This window comes from Homo sapiens, chromosome 8 (genome assembly GCF_000001405.40).
Source record: "Homo sapiens chromosome 8, GRCh38.p14 Primary Assembly".
In the NCBI taxonomy this organism is placed as follows: Eukaryota; Metazoa; Chordata; class Mammalia; order Primates; family Hominidae; genus Homo; species Homo sapiens.
Window position 1 is genome coordinate 116424242 of NC_000008.11, and position 26259 is coordinate 116450500.

Genomic DNA, 26259 nt, shown 5'->3' on the forward strand with positions numbered 1-26259 from the left:
CAAATGGCCAATAAACACATGAAAGTACCCAAACTCATTAGTCATCACAGAAATGCAAATTAAAACCACAAAGTGATACCACTACACACTCCCAGAATTTCTAAAATGAAAAAAAGACAAACCAAATATTGGCAAAGACGTAGAGTAACCAGAACTCGCATCACTCCTAATGGGGGTATATATTAGTATAAACACTTTGGAAACTGATTCGACATTGTCAAGTAAAGCTTAAATGTGCATATCCTATGACTCAGCAGTCTCCCTCCCAGGGAGACACTCAACAGTATTATGGTTGTATTTCTACCAAAATACAAGTATTATAATTTTCACAGTGGCAGTCTCCATAGGAGCACTGTATTAGTTTCCTTCTCCTGCTTCACAAATTACCACAAACTTGGTGGTTGAAAACAACACAAATTTATTATCTTATAGTTTTTAGGTCAGAAGTCCAAAATGAATCTTATGGGTTAAAATCAAGGTGTCAGTGAGCTACACTCCCTCTGGAGGAGCTAAGAGTGAATCTATTTCCTTGCCTTTTCCTGCTTCTAGAAGCCAACTGCCATCTTTATATTTTGGCCCCTTTCTCCGTCTTCAAAATGCATCCCTCTAACATCTGCTTCCATCATCCTATCTCCTCTCTGAATTTGACTCTCCCACCTCCCTCTTATAAGGACTCATGATTATATTTCCAGGCCTGGATAATCCAGGAAAATCTCCTCATCTCAAGATCCCTAACTTAATCACATTTGCAAAGTCCTTTTTACCATGTAAGGTAACATATTCCCAGGAATGAGGACATGGACATCTTTGGGGAGCCATTATTCTGTCTACTACAAAGCCCAAGCAAGAAATTGCTTAATGTCTCAGCAACAAAAGAATGGAAAACTGTATATTTGTATACTGGAATACTATAATAGCAATGAGAATGAACACCATTCGATGACATGCACTATTATAAATGAATCTCACAAGCATAATATTGAGGGAAATAAGTCAGGCACAGAAGACTGTATGAGTCCCTGTGTATGAAATACAGAAAGAGGCAAAAGTGACCTATGGTAGAAGTCAGGATACTGGTTGCCCTGGATGTGGGGATTCATGATTGGGTGGGAACTTTTGGGGAAGTTGATGGTGTTTCATTCTTGATCTGAAAGCTGATTCGTGGGCGTGTTGTTCATCTGAAAGATTCATCAAACTGTACACTTATGATACATGTTCACTTTCCTGTTTGTAAATTTTACTACAGCTTTTACCAACAAAGGGGAAAGATAGGGCCCTGGGAGTATAAAGACCCCCCAGAATGCTGTAACTTACTGCTATGGGAAAAACTTAAGCTTCAGAATCAAATAGGCAGGACCTAGAATCACAGTGCTTTACTAGCTCTGTGATCTTCTGCACATTATTTAATCTCTTGGTCCTCAGTTTCCTCCTCTATAAAATGGGGACAATAACACTTTCTGCCTCGCAACTTCACTGGATTGTTGTGACGTAATGTTTGGGAAAACAAGTGAAATGTAACAAGGGCTGAGTAAATGCTACCTCCTCTGCTTTGCTCTTAAATCTGTCTTTCAGCAGAGCAAATATACAACAGGAGAAAGAAAAGAAATAACTATCTCAGAAGTTGTATGTTTTTTCATTTTCAGTGCCATGTTTAAAAAATATTTGCCAAGCATTGTAGAAGTTGCTCCAGACTCTGTAAAACTGGTGAAGTAGTTCTTTGTTTCTTTATAAACACTGCCTATTTCTTTATAAAACTGCCAGTTGCATTGTGAAGATCACTTTTACAAAGGTGAGCCACTTGAGATCATGAGAGCTAAAACATGTGCAGGAATTACTCAAGGAGCAGGGTGGAAACACAGCCACTCCAGACTTCTACCCACAAAGCAAGCACAGCCTAGCTCATCTATCCTTGTGACCAGAAGGGATATCTCAAGACCAAACCAAACTTACACCTAATCTACATTGCCCTGCAGTAGGGCATAAGAAAGGAAGATGAAAATAAAGACAGGTATAAAGTGGGTTTCCCTTGAAATACAAGAACACAGCATATTTGAGACCAGAACTGCGATCTGGAGCCTTAGGGGCCCTTTAAAGAGTTTCGGGCTCTTGGAGTTATTGTGCTTGTGTCAAGGTCACTCAGACCCACATGCAGTCTGGTTTACAATCATCTTTTTAAAGTCTTGGTTTACATTTCCCATTCCCAGCCAGAATCTTTTATTTGTGATGTTTAGTTCTTTATTTGTATTTTCTCACCCCCGTTTTTATTGCCACTAGTATTATTTCAGCATCATTTAATTTTTGATTCAGACTTGGGTTACTTCTCCAGCCCTATCTTGTACCCTCCCCTCTTTGGTTCTGCTCCCCACATTTCCCCATTCTCTTTCTCTCCAAGTACCTTGTCACTCCCTCTCCTCCACGCTCCTCCGGCTCAACCCTCCTGCATGCTTCCCTGTAGGCACCTCCACAGGGAAAGCTTGCCCTGTTCCTCCAAGCCCGCATCATTTCATCACACCTCCAGGCAAAACTGAATCGTGCATTTATCACATGTAAGCTGTCTCTTTACCTATCTGTTCCGTGCCCTAGATCCTGCACTCCATCAGAACAAGGACTGGGTAATTCTCTCCTTCCTTCCCAGTGCCTCACTTAGAAGGTGTTCTGTAAATGTTTGTCGAATGAATGAATGTCTATCTGGTGGCTACCAGCTATAGGCAGCAGGTAACATCCTCCAGCTTTTATTGTATGTGTAGATTGACAGTCTCTTGTTACAAAAGTTATCAGATTCCATTTTTAACATAATGGTGCCTTATTTGTTACTTAGATAACTACTACCAATAAGCCCTTAACCCTTTGTTCACTCTTCTCTCTGCCCTTAAACAGAACACCTCCCTTATTCTAAAACAATCTTCATGACATATTTAGACCTCTCTTATCTATCCAATCAGTAATTTTAAACCAAGTGTAGGAAAGAAATGCTGTGAGAACTCCAGGTAACTAGTGAGGTAATTATTGCTTTATCTTTACCTTAAAGTCTAAAAAAATAAAAATTGCTTCCCCAGGCCTAAGTGATTATCCTTTCTGTGGGTACAGTGATTTTGATAGAAGAGGCTAAAGATCTGAGAGTGGTAGCCAGTCCATTACATGTAGATGTATTTTTTACTTCGTAATTGTGGCTGGTATTTCTCTTTTCCTCACTTCCAATTAGAAAAAAAGAAATCTAAATTTCAAAAATGTAAGTCATTCTCTTTAACAAACTACAAACTCAACTGAATTCTAAGGGAAACATGAGTATTTATTTCAGACATGAGCTTAATTTTGAACATAAAAGCAGATGAGACACCTCTCCAGATAGAGCTGCTGTAAACTGCTTAGAGTGGTGTAAATCCGTGCTTGAAAAGGCAGCAATAAAGCAAGGATCACTTCTTCCCAGTAAACAGCAGAGTCGTGATAAGGCCGGTCTTACTCTCATTGGAAATAAACCCAGGCAGTCTGGTTCAGAGCTCCTGCAGCTTCTCAGGAAAACAAGGGCAGTCCAAACAATCTTTGCAAAGACCCCAGAAGAACAGAACACAGACTGCTCTTTTCAGAAATTTAACGATCACAAGAAGTGCAAGAGATAGGGAAGTTGCATGAAAGAAAAGCGGGGCCAAGAAAAAGCATTTTCAGGGAAGGAGAGTTTGGAGCCTGATTTTAGCTTGACAGAAAAGAGCTAAGGGAGAAGGAGAGATTAAAGATAAGAGCAATGGGGGTGGCAGGTGGTGGAAATTCCCCTGCCCCCCGCCAGAAGGCTGTAATGCATGCCGGTCTGAAGAGGGGTAGACAGATTCGACTTTTAAAGGCGATGAGACTCTGAAACAAGAAAAAGGAATGAGCAGAACACGGGTGAAGATAAAAATAAATTTTGAATCAGAGACAAGGGAGGTTGAGAGTTCACCGTATATGGCTTCAAGGATCGCTGTGAAATAGGAGGTAATTTCATCTGCTGAGAGGGAGGGAATTGGAAGGCTGAGGATTGAGCGGTGTAAAAAGGCCCGAGAACACCTGCTCAGAGGAACAAGATGTGTAGGTAAGAAAGATAAGTACAAGGCTTGCCAAAATTTACTCAAGACTGCATTTTCGGGAGCAATTTTACTTGTGCTTCGGTGAGCAAGGCCCTGAGAAAAAGGAGTTTGGGGTTTGACCCTTTTTTATCCTACATAATTACCGCTTGATACCAGCGAGTTTATTAAAGCTCTCTTGCTTCATTTCCCCTATAAAACAATTTAATAATACTTGCCCCTTTCCTACCCCATAGGACTTTAACAAGCATTAATTAATATCTTCAAAGTGTCCCAAGTGCCTTGGGAAAGCACTGTACAGGATTTTTTCATCATATCTATTATTCTCACAATTGCATTTCTACACCCTCTGTTTAGAATGAGTTGGAATACAATCTTAACAGCTTCCTTCACTTTATTCCAAAGTGTGTGTGTGTTAAGACTATCTGAAATCAACCATTGAGAGGCATCAGAAGCAAAGAGAACAAAATCTAAAATGTTATCCAGATGCCATTACACCAAAAAGAAGCATTATTAGGAGATGTTACAAACAAAACTTGTAGTCTTTATAGAACTCATTGGCCTATAAGTATGTAATGAATAAAAGCAAAGCATTTCAAACTGACCCTCCTCACAAAATGCCATGACCTAGTAGACAAAAACCCATAACTACTAATGAAATACACAATACAGTAATATTGAATACTTCACTGCATGATATAACAATATCTCAATGCTAAGGAATCCATTATTCTATATCATAATTTTTCTAGCTTTATTGTTTAACATAATCCAAATCCCTTCTTTCCTTCCTTTATCTTGTTATTCAACAAATCTGTGTTGATCATCCATATGTGCAGGAAGTATGTTAAGCCTGAGAGAGTGTGCGTAGCATCCACCTAGCTATGCCTGCCCTTCCCCTTTCATTAGCTAAAATGCTGTCTCCCTTTATTTTTATTTCTTTTTGAATGGAGCTTAGATAAGTACAGCTGAAATTCTATACCAATGTATTAGTCCATTCTTGCACAGCTGTAAAGAAATACCTGAGACTGGGTAATTTATAAAAAAAAGGTTTAATTGGCTCAAGGTTCTGTAGATTGTACAGGAAGCATGGTGGCATCTGCTCAGTTTCTGGGAAGGCCTCAGGAAACACAGTCATGGTGGAAGGTGAAGGAGGCACATCTTCCATGGCCACAGCAGGAGGAAGGTGAGTGGGAGGTATTACACACTTTTAAACAACCAGATCTCATGACAACTCACTCACTATCATGAGAACAGCAATAGGGAAATCCAACCCCATGATCCAGTTACCTCCCACCAGGCCCCACCTCCAATACTGGGGGATTACAATTCAACATGCGATTTGGGTGGGGACACAGATCCAAACCGTATCAACCAACACCACCTTCGTTGTATGGACATTATTTATTGGTATCGGTATGTGGAGTCCTCAGTAGCACCTCTGATACCAAGAATTTGTTAACCTTGATCCAAATGACTGCTTCACAGGCCATAAAATCATTTGGATGAAACCATCACAACCTCATCTATGGGTAGAGGTGACTTTCACAAGTTGATTTCTGATAACAGCCGCTGTGTGTTTGTAGGATGTAGCTGCTATGATGATATGGGGAGAGAAGAGGAGAAAGTTCTTCCTTTACATAAAGTTTTGCCAGAGTTTGCTCCTTTGCACTTAAGTTGAGATATGATATAGTATATCTGATTTCCATGGCACAGAATTGAGCTTTGAAGTCAGAAGAGTTTCTTCAGATTCTGTAAGCAAGACTTAGATTTTACTCTTCTACATTATCCAAGACCCCAGGATATAGCAAGGCTATGGTTGGCTGGATGGAGAAAGTGGGGTAGAAGGAGGAAAACAGAATCCTGTTACAAAAAAGGTAAACAAAACAAAATCTCAAAGCTAAAGTCATAAAACTGACAATACAGCATTTCCAGTCCACAAACTTAACGTGGCTATGATTTAGGTTTTGTGAAGTGGAATTTGTCTTGAACCCCCAACACAATGTGGAGAGAGCTCAAGATTCTTGTGACCATTCCACAACTACAGACATCAAGAAAATTGCATGCATGGATATGTGACATGCTCACAATTCCTTTTACAATTCCTCAAATTTGTATCACCTAAAATTATCACAAATCCAGTATTCTTTGTGTTTTACATTTGTTATGCTTGAGACTAATTCCACAATTGCTTTAACCCTGATGGAGATCGAGTTCAAATATTTTCCCAAAAGACCTCACAAAATAAAATTGCCATCAATGTCCAGAAATTTTGCCCCAAAATAATAATAAGGAAGCAAAGGTGAGGGCAAAGAGACAGATGCAAATGTAAAAACCAAGCTAAGCAAGGGAGCAGGGCCAATTAGAGCCAATGCAATTTCCATATGGAGAGAGTTAGGATTTCTCAAGTCGCAAGTATGGCAGGCTGTTCTCCTATGACAGTAGCAACATCTTCCATTGCACGTGTTTTCCTAGAAATTTGCCATTTTTCCAGCAAGATGGACGTCTACGTCCCCTCCCCTTGAACGTGGGCAGGTCTTTGTGACTAGCTGACCAATCGAGTCTGTCAGAAGTGACACTATATGACTTCTGAGGCTAGCTCATACAATGCCACTCACATTCACCTTGTTCTCTGAGGATACTGTCTCCAGAACTCAAAAAGCATGTTCTGAGGAAACCTAAGCAGACCATGCAGAGGTCTCCATGGAGAAAAGCCAAGTTGCCTGCCCACATCCCACTCACCTCCCCTATGTTTTGTATATATTAAACTTACAATTCTGTCCTCTAATGATCTATCAGTTTTTTTGTTTGAATCACTGCAGCTTTATGAAATGTTTACTACCTGTTAAGGCAACTTGCCACTCAAGCTTCTTCATCTAATTAGCTACCCCTGTCCAAATTGAAAACTACAAAAATTAAGGATATGAACATTTCAGTTATACAGGAGCTCAAGATGTCTATTATGTGACACAGTGATATAGTTAATAAGAATGTACTGTACACATTGGCCTTCTGTGTCCACAGGTTCTGCACCCGCAGATTCAACCAACTGTGGATCAAAAATATTTGTAAGAAGAAAACAATAAAAAATGCAACAATTAAAAAATACCAATTTTTTAAAATACAAGATAACTATTTACATGGCATTTACATTGTATTAGGTATTATAAGTAATCTTGAGATGATTACTTATAATAAAGTAGGAGGATGTGCATAGGTTGTATGCAAATACTACACCATTTTATACAAAGGACTTGAGCATTTGCAGATTTTGGTATCTGCAGGGGGTCCTGGAACCAATCTCTCACGGATACTGAGGGATAACTGTACTTGAAAACAGCCAAAAGAATAGATTTTATGTGTTCTCATCACACACAAAAAAAACTCAATGAGACAATGCACACATTAGTTAATTTGATTTTGGCATTCCAAAATGTGTACATCAAACATGTTGTACACTATATATACATAAAATTTTTATTTTTCAATTAAAAAAATAAATTCACACAAATGATTTTAAAAGCTATTAAAATTACATATATACATCTATGTGAATATACATAATGTTAGTTTCCTAGGGCTGATGTAACAAAGTCATATTTTTTGGAGGACATAATTCAGATAAGACTGGGCACAGTCAGGGTGGTATGGCCATTGACAAGGACATAATTCAATCCTCAACACACACACCACACTCTCTGGGAACTTTGCTATATGATAAGTGCTAAGAATCTCAATTAACTTATTTTCTAAATGTCAAAGCAGTTTTCCCCCAGTAACACATTAATTAAGTCATTCTCTTTATATCATTAGGGTTATCTCCTCTACCACATATTAAATTTTCATATGTTATATGATGATTTGAACACTCCATTATGATCTATTTTTGTCTACCTGCCCAAACACCACATTGCTTTACTTATTGTAGTTTTATAACATGTTTTAGTAACCTGCAGGATAAGTACCTCTCATTGCTCCTATTTTCCACAATGACCTAAAGCTATTTTCACTTGTTTATTGTTCCAGATAATTTCAGAGGTGCTTTCTTGAGTTTCATCAAGAATTGGGATGGTATTAAACATACATACTAATCTAGGAAAGATACAAGCTCCCATTTAACCCAAAAAGACTGCCCAGGCAGGTAGGGCTGGGCAGATGGGCCTGAGCTTTTCAGTCCCTTTAGTCCCCAGAAACCCACCTCCCATCCCCTACCAAGACTCCTGTTGGATCCACAGATGGCATCCACAGCTACTATTTATAGCTTACCCAGACTTCAAGGAGCCTACATGGCAAATCCTTTGAACTCTGCCTTTAAACCTGTGTGACCTCTACACTTCCAACCTTCTATACTGTTTCCCTGATCTTAGGCCATCTGTATCTTCCTTAAAATGGGCCTGGTTTCCTCATAGCCAACCCAGCCCACCAACCTTCTGTTTGCCACATCGTTTCCTCTGGCTCCAAAGACAGCACACAACCAAGCTATAAGAAGAGGCTCCAGGAAGACAATGAGATAAAATAAGGTGTACAAACCGAAAGGTCTCAGGATGTACAACACAGCAAGGCTAATGTGGCATCCCCTCATCCTTTCTTAACTTGATGACACAGGAGAGCTGGCTACAACTATTGAGTGCCTGTCACTTCTCTATTCCTGACACTGTTTGAAAGAAAAAAAGAGGAGGGCGGGGGTGTCCTATCAACATCCAAAACATTTTTCCTCTTTCGCAAGTTAGTTTCCTTGCTGCAGAAAAGCACAGCATGGACCTAATGAGTTGTTTATTTGCTTTTACATGCTCTGCTACAACTGCCACAGCCTGTGAATGAATGTATCTTTGCAACAGCCAACTGCTTTGTAGTAAAGGGACCAAGACCACTGACTCTTCTCACTATAGACTAAGCTAGACAACAGATCACCCCAGACAAAATATTTTTCTTTTCTACCTCTTTCTTTTGCCTTCCCCTTCTTTTGTTCCTTTGATTTAGAGTTCTGTGATGCTTAATGAACAATACACTTCCCAGCAAACACAAAGCAAGAAAAATTCAGTTAGGATTATAATCACAGTTTCAATTATTTACACATGTTAGAAAATATTGCCATTGGGTTCTCTGAGTTATTTATGCTGTTTTCTTCCATTTCAAAGTGCTAAAATATTAGCCCTATTCATTACAAACCAATTGTTTTTAACATGATTCTTCCCCCTCCCCTTGCCCGTCTGAAATCCAATTTATAGCCTGCTAAAGGCTTCATAAGTTATTTATGGATTATTTCCTGGGGTCACATTAATCTGGTTCCTTGTTACTTTACACTAATTTCACTTTGCCACAGTAAAGTAAGGAGATTTGATCTCTTGGGAATTAATCCATAGAGACCTCTTAATGAGGCAAAGCTGGAATGGAGCGAGCTACTGGGTTTAATTCTAAACCCAGTAGGGAGAGTGGCTGATGTGGTTGTTGACTTTGGAAGAAGAAACAGAGCATGCTTTTCTCAGCCCTTTTTTGTTTCCTCTCTTCCTAACTGCCCCCCTGACTGAATGTAAGGGGCTACCATCTGGAGAAGACTTGCATTATTCCTGGTATGTAAGAGACTGAAGGGGCAGTGGATGTAAAGTGTGTCTATTCAGAGTTGAAATATCAGCAAATTCCTTTGGCCAAGAAATGAATGTCACATGCTCCATTACTTTATCAGTAATAGAGCTGACACAATCCATTGATCTCTGTCTTACCACTGGATCCAACCCTCTAATTGGAAGGGCAAAAAAAAGGTATATTATGTATTGACACCTTGCCCTCTTCCCCTCTCTCCAAGAAAACCCAACATGTAAAATATCAACAAAAACTAGGCATTGCTAGGGAACTGTGCTCAGTTATGCAGACGGAGGAAATTGCAAGTTACCAAATCTGGACACTGATATGAAGCCAGCATCCAAGCTAGAAGATTACATTACCCCATTGTTATCTCAGCGAATAATTTCATTTTGTAGAGACATTAAAAGAGGAAAATATTATCTCCTGGACTTACTGAAAAGATTGTTAAATTGTGTGTTGCAGACATGATCAGAATCTTCCAGGAGTTCAAATCATCATATAACAAAAAAAGAAGTTAGTGATCGACCCTAATATGATAGTAAATTAAAAACAGTCATGACATTGATGATAACGTTTGTGAATAGTACAAGGAAGAGCAGCTCTGAGCAATGGTGATCCATTGATTTGCTCTACACCAATAAATCCACTAAAACCTCTAAGACAAAATGTAGACCAGTGCTTTAATTGTAAAACCACAGCTAGCAAAGTTCTCAGTTGTCCTTGGTTCATCCATTAGTTCTTCCTCAAAGACATTAAAAACATATCCTTCATTTATCAGTCTTTTTAATTTGTGAAATGCATTACTTCATATATTTTCATCTCTCCTTGATTTAGACATAGTTGCCAATATACTTTCAGAACCAAAATTAATTAAAAGAAATCAAGTTCAGTGATTAGGCATTGTTCCTGATATTTGATCTTAAGTGGTAAAATGATGGGAAGAAAAATCAATAATTAATGTCTTCTTTCTAGCATTAAATATTTCATACTAAAGCAAAAAACTCTCTAAGAAGACTTCAGGGCAGAAAAGTCCTTCAACTATATGGATATATGGAGATCCCCATTTGATGAAGAGAGCACTGGGATTTTGGCATAATCAATTGTCCCATAAATCTATCCAAACTACAGTAGGAACTAAAGTTTCCAGTGTGGCACCTCTGGGACAAAGCAAATAGAAAATTGAAAGTGGATAGTGTCTACACATGAAAGAAGAAATATAAACAGCCTCACAAATAACCATAAAAATAAAAATCAAAACAAGTTTTTATTTTCACCTATCAAATTATTACAGATTTTTAAATAGGTAATTGTCTGACTTCCACCCCCAGCAAAGGAACCAGTGCTTCCTGAGGCTGAGTGAAAATCCAGAAGGCAAAGCATGTGCTTGGACCCCTCAGCTGAGCTGATCAGAGATAAAGGGTCAGAAAAGTGAATGAAGTCAGAATCTAGGCAGAAAATTTAAATTCAAATACCCAGAGAAAGATTGGGAAGACTGGTAGATCTTGGAAGTGCCAGAGGCAGCATCAGAAGCAGAGCACAGAGCCAGGAAGCTGAGAAGTTCTGCTCCCATGCAAAAAGGAATAACAGGGGACAGATTTAACTTCTCACCTTCAACAACTAAAAAGCTGGACAACATACTATGGAACTACAGTTTTCAAAAATTGGACAATGGGCAATGTAGAATAGTAATCTTGAGAGAAGGGAAATAACTTAAGCCCTATGAGTGACTGAGCTTAATACTTGGAGAGCATTTTCAGGCCACACCACTGGGAGGAGGAACCCAAGCAAAACTCACCCATGTCCCCGAGTTGAGAAAGCCCAAGGTGGAAAAAACTCTGGGGCAGAGGAGAAAGCTTCAATGTGATAAAGTTCTGGATATTTGCAGACAGGTCCCCTGAAGCTTTTTGCTAACTATTGATTATCACATGCATGTGAGAAAACTGCCAAGGCCAAAGAAAGAACCACTGGAAAAGAGCTAGCAGAAAAATCTCCAGGGAAAACAGGATGATGAAGAGTTGTTGTCTTCACCAGCCGGAATAGAGGAACTCCTAACATGCAGGACATTAAACAGTGTCCTCAGAAGAATATTGTCCCAGGAGTATGGCCAAATTAACCCTAGGCTAAAAGATGCTCTAGATTTCCCTTAACAAAACTATCAATGAATAAAGGAATCCTAAGAAAGGGGAGGGGAGGGAGCCAAAATTATTTAAAAGAATAAAAAACTTAGCAATCAACAATATGAAATACACAATATCTACATCAAATCAAAAATTACCAGGCATGCAAACAGACAGGAAAATATGGCCCACACGGAGAAATGCCAATCAACAGAAACAGACCCAGAATGACACAGAAAATAGAATTGGTAGATAAGGACACTAACTAGCTACAAGAAATATACTTTATATGTTTAAGAAAGTAGAGAAAAGTCTAAGTATAATTAGGATGAAGTAAAAAGATACCAACTAAACTTATAGAAATTACAAGAACAACATCTGAGATTTAAAAAATACTGCTACATATGATAGATTTTAAAGCATGTCCCTAGATATGATTGACAACAGATTAGATGCAGAAGTAGTGAATACAAGAAAAGGCAATAGAACTATACAACATGAAACATAAGGAGAAAAGATACTGGAGGTGGAAAGACATAAACAGAGATTAAGTGAACTATACAACATGAAACATAAGGAGAAAAGATACTGGAGGTGGAAAGACATAAACAGAGATTCAGTGAACTATGCAACAGTATCAAGTGAACTAACATATGTGTAATTGGAGTCCCAGAAAAATGGGAGGCACTAATATTTCAATAAATTTTTTTCTAAATTTGACGAATATCATAAAACCACATACATAAGAAGCTGAATGACCACCAAACAAAAGAAACACAAAGAGAGCCACATCAAGGCAAAGGATAATTAAATCTCTGAAAACCAATGACAAAGAGAAAATCATAACAGTATCAATTACATGAAGAGGAAGAAAACTAAAAATAATAGCAGACTTCTCATGAGAAACAATGCTATCCTGAAGATAATGCAATGTTGAAAAAAAAAATACCTGGCAACCTAGATTTCTATAGTCAATGAGCCTATCTTTCAAAATGATTAAAGTGAAATAAAGACTTAAGGAAAAGAGACAATACATACATACGTATATACATATCTTTCATCCTACGTCAATAGGTAGGAACATGAGACAAAGGACTAGACTGAGGGAAGTGAGGAGGAGAGGACTCATTTATGTAAATTGTTCAGGAAACCACACCCTGTAGAGGTGATATTTGAACCGCCCTGAGGGTGGTGGTCATGAAAACATCTGGGTAAAAAGCAAGGCGAGCAGAGAGAACAGCAAGTGCAAAGGCCCTGGGGCAGGAGTATAATTGGTGTGGTCCATAACAACAAGGAGGCAAGAGTGGTTGTATCAGAGTGAATCAGAGGAGAAATAACAAAAGGTGAAGAGGGCACAATCAGGAGCACAAAAAGAAACCCTTTAGGAGGCAATAGCAGCTGTCCAGGGAAGAGATGTGGGCTTGGAGCAGGATGGTAGGTGTGGTGGGCAGAATAATGGCTCCCAAAGAGATCCACATCCTAATCCCAGGAACCTGTGAATATGTCACCATACATGACAAAAGTCACATTGCAAATGTGGTTAAATTACAGATCTTGAGGTATGGAGATTATCTTAGATTATCTGGATGGGCTCATTCTAATCATGTGGGTTCTTAAAAACAGAGATCCTTTCCCAGCTGTGGTCAGAAAGGGATGTGACTGTGGAAGAATGGTCAGAAAGATGCAACATTGTTGATCTGAAGATGAAGGAGATTACCACAAGCCAAGAATGTGAACAGCCTCTAGAAGCTGGAAAGGCCAAGGAGACGGATTCTCTTCTAGAGCCTTTAGAAAGGAACTCTGCCCTGAATCACTTTGATTTTAGCCCATTGAGACCCCTCTCAGACTTCTGACTTACAGAACTGAGAGGAGAAATGTGTGTTGTCTTAAGCTACTGAGTTTGTGGTCTTGTTACAGCAGCAACAGGAAATTAACGTAATGGGTATGAAGGCTGAACTATCACTCTGACCACAGTGGAAAGAACTAAATGGAGAAAAGAAGGGGTGAAACAGAAGGCAGAGAAGAGTCAACAATCAATGTTGTCCATTCTCTGTCCAGAGTTCAACTCTTGCCTTTACCTCTTATTTTAAGAGTTATTCTAATGCGCCTCTACTCATGCCAATCATAACAAGAGAAACTTCCATCATCCTTAAAAACTTAGAACAAAACATGCTTATCAAAATGTGGAGTGGAAAGTGGATGCATTACAGTGAAGTTCCAGCTAGAAGAGAGTTCACACAGGCTGAGCCTAACAGAAAGTGACAGGAGTAATCACCATTGTGATGATCCCATAGAAATCAACTTTACTAACAATAAAATTACATTGCTAGATCTCTGCATTGGCAGAAATCTCAAATCACTTTCCATTGAAGTATCCCCAGTGTTTTTTGCTAGCTCCCTTCTAGGGTGGGGCAGGGCATGTGAAGTAGATATCCATCACTAGAGCAGAGCTGTCATCTACAGAAACTCTTTGGCTCAACTGGGAGGATTGTCAAGACCACCCCTTGAGTGTCAGCCTCCTACAACCCTGTTTCCAGAACCCTGAGTCACTCTTAATAATCTCAGTGAGATCAGTCGCTATTCTTCATGCCCACATGGATGAAAGTCATGGCATGACATTTATTGAGCCTGAGTTTCTACAGATTCTCAGCATCTGGCCTGCATCTGGGCCCCCTCAGAAGGGTGCCACTGATCACCAGAATTATTTTCTTCTTCTCAGAGCTGCCTTCTCCAGCCCATAAACTTTCAGTGTCTCCAGTTCTTGCTTCTCTTTTGTGGAAAGAGATTTCTTTTTCTGTGGTAGCAAGATATTGAGGATATCCAGAAGAAAGTTCATTCTCATTTTCAACATTTTCAAATAGGACATATAGGAGGTAACCCACACAGCAGAGGACATGGGCTTATGCCACAGAATCGGTGCCTCTTCTTAGAGAAGGGAGGGTCAAAGAGATCAATGATTAGTATCAATCTTTAAGTATTTACTATGTGCCAAGTGCTATGCAAAGCACTCTACATATAGCATATCATTATATCTTAACACCACTTTGAAGCAGGTATCATTATCTTCACTTTAAACATGAAGGAATTATGGCTTGAAAAGCTTAGATAACTCACTAAATTTCTTACAGTGAATACATAGCAAAATCAGAATTCAAACCCAGATCTGTCTGACTCCAATGGTTTGAATCACTCTATCAGATAATGAGAACTCCTGAATTCCTGGATATCTCTCTCTCTTTCTCTCTCTCTCTCTTATTTTCCAAACTCTTAAATGTAAAGTTGATCTATTTACAGACTGAAATAGAACTCACGTGCCCTAGACAACAACTACAGCCTCCGACAGTCTTATTCAAAACGGTATTTAGGATGTTTGCTACCTAGAGCTATGGATTATGACAAGAGCCCAGTGAGCTAGAAATAAAGAAGAACTCAGACTTGGTTGAAAAGCTTTATTTTTAACTGCACTGGCACATCTGTATTTCTATAAACCTGGCCGTTTCCTCTCATTTATCCACACCTGATATAAGCCTAACCTTTTGGTCTGTGGGGCTAGTGATTCTTCCCATCACTATTACATCTATTGATGGAATCCATCCAGATCACCACCAGGAATCTAACCACTAATCCTATTGTCAGTATAGCACAGTAGTTAAGAATGAGTGATTTGGTAGAGAATAGACTTGGGTTCAAATCCCAGCTCTGTCACTAACTAGCCCTACACTCATAGGTAAATCACAGCTTTCTACACCTCGTTTTCCTTTTATTTATTTATTTTTTTTTTGAGAGAGAGATGGAATCTCATTTCACTCTGTTGCCCAGGCTGGAGTGCAGTGGCGCAATCTTGGTTCACTGCAACCTCCGCCTCCTGGATTCAAGCGATTGTCCTGCCTCAGCTTCCCAAGCAGCTGAGACTACAGGCTTGCACCAATACGCCCTGCTAATTTTTTGTATATTTTTAGTAGAGATGAGATTTCACTATGCGTTGGCCAGGCTGGTCTCGAACTCCTGATCTCAGGTGATCTGCCCGCGATGGGTTCCCAAAGTGCTGGGATTACGGGTATGAGACATCTCGCCCCCAGCCTTCCCTTTTGTAAAGTGAGGATAACAGTACTTCGCAGGGTTGCAATAAAGACAATGAGGTAATGTCCGTAAATCTCTCAGCACAGTGGCACATAGTAAGCAGTCAACAAATGTTAGCTGTTAGTGCTATTACCACATAGCTCAGGGCACAAGTGACAATTAAAACCAAGGACAAACAACACAGACCAAAGCAATGAGCCCTTCACTCTCTGAGCTTCCAGAGAGATCTTAGCATTGTGCATTCCTCTGAACAGGGCTGATGCTGGGCAATCCGAGGAAAGCTTGTTGTTAGCACATCTACTCTGTTTCCTTATGGTCTCTGGGTGTAGTCCTCCAACTAGCCATGGCCTGTCACACCAGGCTCCTCTCCTGCCCCTGTTCCACACTCCATCTCAGCGGTCCCTCCAGTGGAAGCTCATGAAGATAATTTGTTGGAATAAGAAGAAGAAAATAGTAAGTTGTTCATTTATGTTTTTTATATTCCTTTAAACTTATATTTGATGTATTTATTTTTAAATGAAGATAATATTTGATTACATTAATATTTGTATTTAACCCATGCATACACATATAAATATATTTGGGATATGTGCTCAAGTTTTTTTGAACTAATAGGGTGTGAAATCTGGAAAAAAAATTGAAGGTTAGAGTTCTATGCCATTCCTAAAGGGATACAAGGTGATAAGCACAAGTGCTTTCCAGGGCTGTGCCCATAGACAAATGCATACAGCCAAAGGACGCAGTGGAGAAAATGGAGAACTGAAGAGTTTATGCCCAGCCTCCAGCTGTTCAAAATCAAAAATAGTCTGAACATGTGTAATTATATTTTAATAAACATTTCCTGAGGAAGTCCAAGTGGCAGGCATCATTCAGCCCATGGGGAGCAGCAGGGTGAGCCCCCCACCCCATGCCTTCTGCTGATTTCCACTGGTCGCTACTAACGTGTTACCTTTGAAGTCAGTACTGAGCCCTAACCCAGATTTTCAGGGCATCTTGAGTAGGACTCTGGGCTGGGAGTCAGAATAACTGGATTGAAATCCTAGCTCTCTTCCTTACTCGTGTGACCTCTCATTCATTAAGTCAGTTAACTCAGAGATTAAGTTTTCCTCATCTCTTTATGGAATAATAATACTCACTTCAAAGTGTGTTGTGACATCTAAGTAAGATGATGTATTTGCAAGGGCTTCAATGACTTCCATGACTGTTGAATGTAATTCACTCACCCCTGTGGCAGCTTAGATGAGAGTAGTGATTGATTTATGGGGTAACACTAGTTGACGGTCTACTATGTGGAAGAGAAAGGAGAACTATTCTGTGTTATCCCAGGTGGAAGAATCCAAAATAAAGAAGAATTTGGGGAACAGAATGAAAACTCTGCACTATCTTGCCAAATATTGGATTCCCAATCACAGACATGTTCAAGTTGAGGTTATAAGTCTGGAAATTGTGTGAAGCAGGCTCAGATTTTGAATGAGAAGTTTGGAGTAAACAACTTTTACATTCCCTTCAAACACTCAAATTTTATCGTTCTAAGCCAAATAAAATGAGAACTAGTTAAAGAATAACATAACTTCCAGCAAATTCAGGCCCTCCTGCAGGTCAAGGGGAAAAAGAAAACTATCTGGGCACAGAGGTATCTTCAAATCACACAACTTAATTCATCTGCAAAGGACTTGAATCCACCTCGCGTATTTCCCTCAAGTACTTGCCATATAGAATAAGTTGTTTGACAATTCACTTAGCCTGTTGTCCAAGACTACTTGAATTATTCTACATACAGAGATGTGATACCAGGCGCTGCAGATGAATAAATCACATCAGCTATCGAAACCATATGCAACTCATTCACAAGTACGTTATCTTCAGCCCAGACCATGCCTTTGAGGGCCAGACCAATCTATTCAACCTATAACCTACCATCTCACTTCAACATTTCCTAAAATAAGTTTATCATCTTCCCCTTCCCCTCACCTTCTAGGCACCACTATTCATCTTTATTCCCTGCCCAGAAACCTAGGGGTCATCCTTGGCCCCACTTAGTCTTCTATTCCCCATATCCTGTGACTTTTCTTTATTATTATTATTTGAGACAGTCTCACTCTGTCGCCAGGCTGGAGTGCAGTGGCGCGATCTCGGCTCTTTGCAACCTCTGCCTCCCGAGTTCAAGCGATTCTCATACCTCAGCCTCCTGAGTAGCTGGGACTACAGGCACGCACCAACATGACCAGTTAATTTTTTCTTTTTTTGTATTTTTAGTAGAGACGGGGTTTCACCATGTTGGCCAGGATGGTCTCGATCTCCTGACCTCGTGATCCACCGGCCTCGGCCTCCCAAAGTGCTGGGATTACTTTTACATTCTAAATATCTCTTGAATATATCCACTCCTTTCTAGCTCTTTCATCACTACTACCTTAGACCAAGGTTTCGTCATCTGTTGCCTGGACCGCTATTACAGCCTTCAATGTCTTCCTCATCCACCCTTGCCCTCCTCCCATTGTTCGTTACCTGCATTTCCCTTCCCCTCTAAAACAAAGCTTCAGAATGAGCTACAAGTTGCTACAGTGTGTAGCTCTGACTCACCTCTCAGCCTTAGCGCTTTCCTGCTCACTTCACTCTAATGCCCTGTGAGTTCTTATTCATTCTTCAGATCACTACTTAAGCATCATTTCCTCAAGGAAATTTTCTGTGACCTCTCTGACCAGCTCAAATGTGTCTATGTTAAGCTCTTAGAGCAACATGTAGTAATTGTCACAGATGCAGTTGCATATTTGTGTCATTCTTTTTATTAATGTGTATTTCCCCCTGTAAACTATAAAACACATGAGGGCAGGAACAGTGGTGCTTTTTGCTCAGGGCCTGGAACATAGTAGGTCCTCAATCAATAAATAGTTAATAGCTAAACAGATCAATAAGTGATGAATGAAAGCAAGAATGAATAATATATATTCTTGTGCGAGTCACTTCATCTCTCCACGCTTCATTTTAACTCTGAAATTTGGAGGCAGGGGAGTGGGTAAGGAATGAACAGGAGAGGGAATTAGATGGCATCTAGAATAACTGTTCTAAAAATTTTTGGTTCCAAATGCAAAATGTACAAAAAAAAAATTCTGAAATAAAAGATCCAAAAGGAAAGTTGTGCTCATGCTGAGCTCACAAATACATGCCTTTTTCCCCCATAAATAGAACAAACAGATGCTATCTGCAAGGCCCACAGCACATCTGCGTGGATGAAGCAGCAGCACTCAAGTGTCCTGGGAAAGGAGTGATTTGCATGTTTGCTATCTGGTGTGCAGGAGCTCACACATTCTTTTCAGATAACACTGCAATGGCAACGTTCGGAGATTCAAGTTCTTCAAGTTCACCTTCAGTCCCCGTGCTAGAGAAATATTCATGCTTTTAAAAATAAAATAAAAAGAAAGAATTGCTGGCTGAAGGGCTTCTTCCCTCCCTGTCACTCCACTTCCTCAAGCTTTCACATTTCAGTGTTGTCAAGTTATCATGTATTAGCTAATCAAAACAAAGGGAATATGAGAAATGACTAAAAGTTTCATGACAAGTATGAAAACTGCCTGAAGGATGTGGTGGCACCAGCCATTCAAAAGACTCTACTTTTTTCTGAGAGCATAGGACTTTGATTTCCATACAGTATTTTCTTCTCAAGGATCTCAAAATCTCTCTTTTTAAGAATTTAAAAGGTTACTTGGTACGGAGTTTTCTTAAGCCAAGTAGACAAACTGAGGCATATAATGTACTTTCTTCTTTTCCTTTTTTTTTTTTTTTTTTTTTTTTTGAGACAGAGTTTCATTCTTGTTGCCCAGGCTGGAGCACAATGGCACAATCTCGGTTCACTGCAACCTCTGCCTCCTGGGTTCAAGCGATTCTCCTGCCTAGCCTCCCGAGTAGCTGGGATTCCAGGCGCATGCCACCACGCCCAGCTAATTTTTTGTATTTTTAGTAGAGATGGGGTTTTATCATGTTGGCCACGCTGGTCTCAAACTCCTGATCTCAGGTGATCCACCTGCCTCTACCTCCCAAAGTGCTGAGATTACAGGCATGAGCCACCGCGCCCGGCCCAGAATGTACTTTTTAAAAACAAGGCAGTAGCTGAAATAAATTGAAAGTGATTTCTTTATTCCCACAAGAGATAATGTAAGAAAAGAGGTGGTAATGGGAATTATTTGCCCTGGGAGCCCTGGCTGCAGTGCAGCTTAATCTAATTTGCATATGAAACTGGGAGTTCCTGGAATTACATTCCCATGTGGTCCCAACACTCAGCACCACTGACTACATGCTGCCTTGTTCATAGTAACTGGACATTAAGCTTAGGGAAAGCAGCAAAGTTCAGCCAGTCACTTAGAAAGACGGGCAAAGAGACTACTCTAAAATTGTGACATCTCCTTCAAGAACCTTCTGTAGTTACTGAAATAAACAAGGGAATACTGTATCTACTGACAGTTAAGCCAAAAAAGGAAAAAGTTAATGTTTCCTACTCAATATATTTTCTCCTTTCAAACTTCAGACAGCTTCACCCCACCACACCCAGCTACTTGTAACTGGTTCCAAAGAGTGACACTAACTGATGAAAGATGACATTTTTGCAATCCTTTCCCTCAACAGACTCATGGTGAGGTGGCCCTTCTCCACTAGACTATACACTTCATCATCCATGTCCATCTTTCTGTCCAAGGAGGGACAAGTTCCAAGGGGGAAATCATCCTGCCTCGACAGCCCTGGATCAAACCTTGGGAATTGAAACCAGGGATGTGTGGATCAGCCGGGAGTGCTGGCTCTCCCCTCGGAAGCTGAGTCACCGACCTGGCTGGTTTATTTAATCGCTTGGAAAGTGGTTAGACTGAACAGGACATGTAGTGATTAGTAATTCAGACTGGTCTCAGAGCTTCATGTTTTTTACTGTGAGACGCCAACTGCAGCCTTTCTCTTGGAGTCAACAGGAAGTGAGAAGAGCAGGCCAAATTTGACACCACTTGACGTAACCAGAGATGGACTTCAGCCCTCATTTCTCCACCCAATAACACAGAGATTTTGAAAGCAAGCCCTTCTAGTTAAACATATCTACCAAGTACCAGGGGCGGAATAAGGAAGAATTGAAGAAAACCTGCTTTGATAACTCCAACTTGGCTGTTTCTTATTAGCTGGCTCTCATTTAATAGAAGAAGCAGGAGGAGGAGAGAGGAGGGGGAAGGGAAGGGATAGAAAGGCGGGGGAGGAGAGAGGGGGAGGGGCAGAAGGTGGAGGGAGAAGGAGAAAAGGAAGGGCAGCAGGGGCAGTAGTAAAGGGAGTCACCTCAGATACAAATGTGAAGATGGCAAGAAGAAAAAGAAATAATATTTATTAAATAGGCTACTCCTCAAACCAATCTGAAAAAGATCATGAATGAGGCAAACACAGAATCTACTTTTCTGATGTTTTTTTTTCTTCATTATGCCACATTTGTAGAACATTGCAAACTGGGCACAGCAATACATAGCCACGTAGTCAGAAGTGATACAAATAGACTTTTTATGAAACATTTCCTATTTCTGGTTACAATTACTGTTGCAATGATTGATTCATGGTCAGCTATTTCCAACTACAGCTGTGGTAATAGCAATGAGATTTAAAATTTGATCATTTCACATGGGGGGTTTAGTGAAAGAAAAAATATGCAATATCTTCGCATTCACCTCTATTTTTTCTCTATTTTATATCTTTCCTCTCTAATTCATCCTATACTTAGTTCCAGATACGTTTTCCTAAAATATCACTGCTGTGAATGTGTCCACCTGATATCAGGACATTCATTCTCTAATGAAACTCAGGGCAAATGCTCCATTGGTATAAAGAGGCTGGAATTATTATTTTAACCACCCCTCCTCCAGTCCCCCTGGCCAAGAAAAAGTTTCAAGCTATGTTATTAGGAAGAATATACATTTTTCACGTAACACCAGATAGGATGATTTTTAGAAAAAGAAAATATATATGATTACAGGAAGCTTGGTTTATTTCACATTCTTTAAGAAGGAACCGGAGGCCGGGCACGGTGGCTCACGCCTGTAATCCCAACACTTTGGGAGGTCGAGGCAGCCGGACCACCAGAGGTCAGGAGTTCAAGATCAGCCTGGCTAACATGGTGAAACTCCGTTTCTACTAAACATACAAAATTAGCTGGGCGTGGTGATGCACTCCTGTAATCCTAGCTACTCGGGACGCTGAGGCAGGAGAATCGCTTGAACCCGGGAGGCGGAGGTTACAGTGAGCCACTGCACTCCAGCCTGGGCGACAGAGTGAGACTCAGACTAAAAAAAAAAAAAAAAAAGGAACCGGAGCCCCTGGAAAGGAATAACCCACCCACCCACTCTTCAAGGCCCCAGAGTTTCTTTTTCCTGCCTGCTCACACTGACCCCTACCTACGCTCCCTGCCTCACCTCAGGGAGACATCAAACATTGGCACCTCCTCTATTGTAGAGTCAACGAGGACTGAGTGCAGAGTGCAAGGTACAATCTACCAGATCTGCTTTACTCTGTATGGATGGCGGAAAGTCCCAGGGAAAGGGGGCATCAAAACGTGGAAGAATTTAGCAGGAGAGTCACCCTGAGAGAAAGAAAGAGGGAATAGGATCCAGGAAAAGTGTCCATGAGGAAAACTCTTGGAAGGCCTAGGCAATACGGCTCCATCTCATTACGTGGGATAAAGGATTAAGTTGGCTGACTAGACCCCATTTCTGATTCTCCCCTCTCCTCCTCACAATGTATGACTCCGAGGCAATTAGTTACCCAAACCCTTCGGTAAAAAAAAGAAGAAGAAGAAAAAAAGACCAGCAATCACAAGTGTGGAATGAGCAGTTGACAAGGACAATCCTAGTATGACACTGCTCATTATAAGCTATGGGGAAAGATATCCCTTAAAATGATGAGGACATCCCTAAAGATATCCTTAAGTAGTCTAAATCGTAATACTACCTACTCCCCAACCCCACACTGAACTTCTGCCTTCCCAGGAGATATTCTAAGGGTCCAGGTATACCCAGGCTCTAACACTGGAGGAGCAAAAGCCCCCTTCAATTGGGGAAAACCAAGACATTGAAAAGAAACCTTCCTTTGACTGCCTTCTCTGTGTCCTCCACCTGACTGCTGATGTTTCAATCACAATTTAAAAACAGTTTCCATCCTCAGTTTTACGAATTCGTGTGTCAAAATAATTCCTCATATTATATTCTGAATGTGTCACTTTAGGAGGAAGCGTTTACAGGCAGCTGCTCCATCCCAGCTACATTTCTACCTGTGGATTATACAGAAAGCCAGCCTGGCCTTTAATAATTTTAATTTCATTTTTCTGGGTCCCCTACAACCTACTTGGAAGCCAGCTTTCATTCATCTTGGTTACACAAGCCCAAGAGTATCACACATGTCCTATATCCATAGTTACAGCACTTGTCATACATGTCTACAATAGTCATTTAATGTATGTGCCAGAATGTATCATGTGTTCTTAATCAATTTCTTTATCTGTAAAACAAATAATAATAATACATACCCATAGCCATAAAGTTATGAGAATTAATTGAGTTAGTATGGCCTATATGCCTAGACCAGGCATTGGAAAACTTTTTTTTATAAAGGACCAGATAAAAATAATTTAAGTTTTGCACTTTATACAGTCTGTGTCTTAACTACTCACCTCTGTCACTGTAGAGCAAAATCAGCCACAGATAAATGAGTGTGGCTGTGTTCCAATAAAACTTTATTTACAAAAACAGGTGGTGAGCTGGATTTGTCCCACAGGCAGTGGTTTAATGACCCCTGTCTTAAACAATACGTGTTCAATAAATTTGTTATTAGAGTTATTATCTTAATCAGTACTGACAGTTCTCCATTTTCACATTTGCTTATCTTTCCTAGTAACATTTGTAATTGAATTCTGGATATGTTAACTTACCCATTCATCACTGAGGTCACTGATGGGGAAAAGAAATGGCGGAGGACTTTTATCTTGCTTATACGTGTATAGCATCTAGTGGTGGAAGAGTGTAATTGCAAGTTTTTTTTTGTTTTTTTTTTTTTTTTGTTTTATTTTCATTTCCTTGATCTTTTTCAAGCTCATCTTCAGTAAGAGGGCAGCTTCCTCGGTCAGCCCACAGTGGAAAGCTACATTTGGATGACGAGGACGTCAGACCCACCTGTTTCCAAAGATGTCCCTAACAGGCCTTTGCCCGGGGGGTTCTTATAACGCAGGGTTGCATGTAGACAATCGAAAGTATTCACTAAAGAGATTTAAATATGACCCTGTGTGCCAGACGTGGTGGCTAACACCTGTAATCCCAGCAGTTTGGGAGGCCGAGGCGGGCGGATCACCTGAGGTTGGGAGTTCCAGACCACCCTGACCAACATGGAGAAACCCCGTCTCTACTAAAAATACAAAATGAGCTGGGTGTGGTGGCACATGCCTGTAATCCCAGCTACTCAGGAGGCTGAGGCAGGAGAATCGCTTGAACCCAGGAAGCGGAGGTTGCAGTGAGCCGAGATCGCGCCATTGCACTCCAGCCTGGGCAACAAGAGCGAAACTCCGTCTCAAAAAAAAAAAAAAAAAAAAATGACCCCGTGTAAGAAATAAGCTATTATTTATTAATCCATCAACTATCATCTGTGTACGTGTGTTTCATCATACTAACAAATATTTCAGAGAAACAACAAAGTGTAGTTATATGTTATCTTAAAATTAGCCTTCATAAAGTATTCAGTGATCTCTTAGCATGAAGCAGAGGCAGCTGCCTGGGCCAGGTCAGGTCCCACTTTACCTCCTTGGTGCCTGCTGCCTATTGACCACCTTCTACCCCTCATTTTTATCTATATTCCTTGCTCGTCGCACTTCATACGCTACTGCCTCCCTTTGTTGCCAATAAAGCTAACTGTTAGAATTCTCAGTCTCTCTTCTATTGTGTAGAGGTTAGAATTCCTAACCCAAGGTTCCAGAACTCTGGTTCTTTGTTTCTAATATTTTCTGCTGAGGCTCTGTCAATCATCATATTCTCTGATAAATTTTTTGATAGGCAGATGCCTGAAGATAATTTTTTCCTGTCTGTTATTAGGATGGAGATCAAGAGGCAAATTTTTAAAGTGCCATTATTTAACAGAGAGAAAAAAGATCTTCCTCATTGTGTGTTCCTCCACTGAACAGAAGTCATTTATGAACATTGTTTAGGTTACTCTATAAAATAAATTCTGAGATGTAGTGATCTGATTTCTGATTTTTTTCCTCCCCTGGAATCAGTATGAAATCACTGGGTTCATCTCCCATCAGCAAGTTCATATCTTATGTACCACCAGGGAGTTCATATTCAAGTTCACGTCTCAGCGGGGAGCATGAGCCGAGGGCTGCGGCTTTCAGTGCTTTGTCAGCATTATCAGAGGAAGCTTCTGATAACCTCAGATAATCTTCCCACTCCCAAATGGCTCTGCCCCCTTCTTCCTGAACTTCTCAGGTATTTACGTTTTCTCAAAAGTTCTCCTGCCATCACCACCAGTCACCACAATCACCACCTGCCTTTCGTAGCAGCTGGTTGGCCCGGGACCTGCTTCCCTAACTTTTCTTTGTGGCAGCCTCATTTCCTGGGTATCTGGGCCCCTTCCCCTCATTCCTACTGCATCGACTTGGAAGAGTATCCTTGCTCTGATTTTGAGGAGATTCTTCATCCTATATTTCCAAACAAGTCCCTATTTTGGTTCCCCCAAATCTTGAAGCTGACCAGAAAACTAGACTGAATTGGCCACACCACTATTTGGACTCTCTTTGTGATTTTTGGCTACTTGCTCCTCTCTGTAGTTTATAGTGACATGTCAGATTTTCCACAGCAGTCATATAACATACCCATTCCTCCTTACACCTACCTTGGGACTGGCCCAGCAAGTTTTAGGACACTCTTGGGATTATGTATGAAGAGAGTGCTGGGCATTAAAATAACATGGATAAAGTCCTCTCAAGACCAAAATTTTTCCAGAGGCTGGGCATCAATTGATCGCTGGACATCAATTTCCTCAATAAATGAAGACGTTTGCCTCAAAAAGCAATCAAGTCTCTCTGAGCTCAAATAATCTGTCATTCGAAATCTATCTCATTTTTTAAAGAGATCTCTAAGTTCTAATTAGAATCCATTTGTCCTTCTGTTAGGTAAAGTTGCCAAAATAATTTCCCAATTGTGAAACTGGGAAAGTTTATCAGAGAATATGAAGATTTGTGAATGCAATTTGTGATGCCTGGTAGTCCACCTTCTACACTCTGTTAGCAGTATCCTACTACTAAAGTTTTCACTCTCATTATTGGGGTTGGGAATGTGTTTTTCACTCTTACTCAGCTTTTGGCATTGTCTAACATTTCTTCCAGAAATGGCCTTGCCACTGAAAGATCTCTTAACATAGGCTTGAAATTA

At 40.3% G+C, this 26259-nt stretch overlaps 1 long non-coding RNA gene across 1 annotated transcript; it reads right to left on the reverse strand.

The window, feature by feature from the left end:
- Positions 1-5088: 5088 nt before the first annotated feature.
- Positions 5089-24711, reverse strand: LOC102723447 (uncharacterized). Its single transcript, XR_928547.4, has 3 exons — positions 24631-24711; positions 23772-23980; positions 5089-5878 (listed from the first exon to the last, which is right to left on the reverse strand). It is a non-coding gene; the product is annotated as an uncharacterized LOC102723447 (long non-coding RNA).
- Between the last annotated feature and the right edge of the window lie 1548 nt (positions 24712-26259).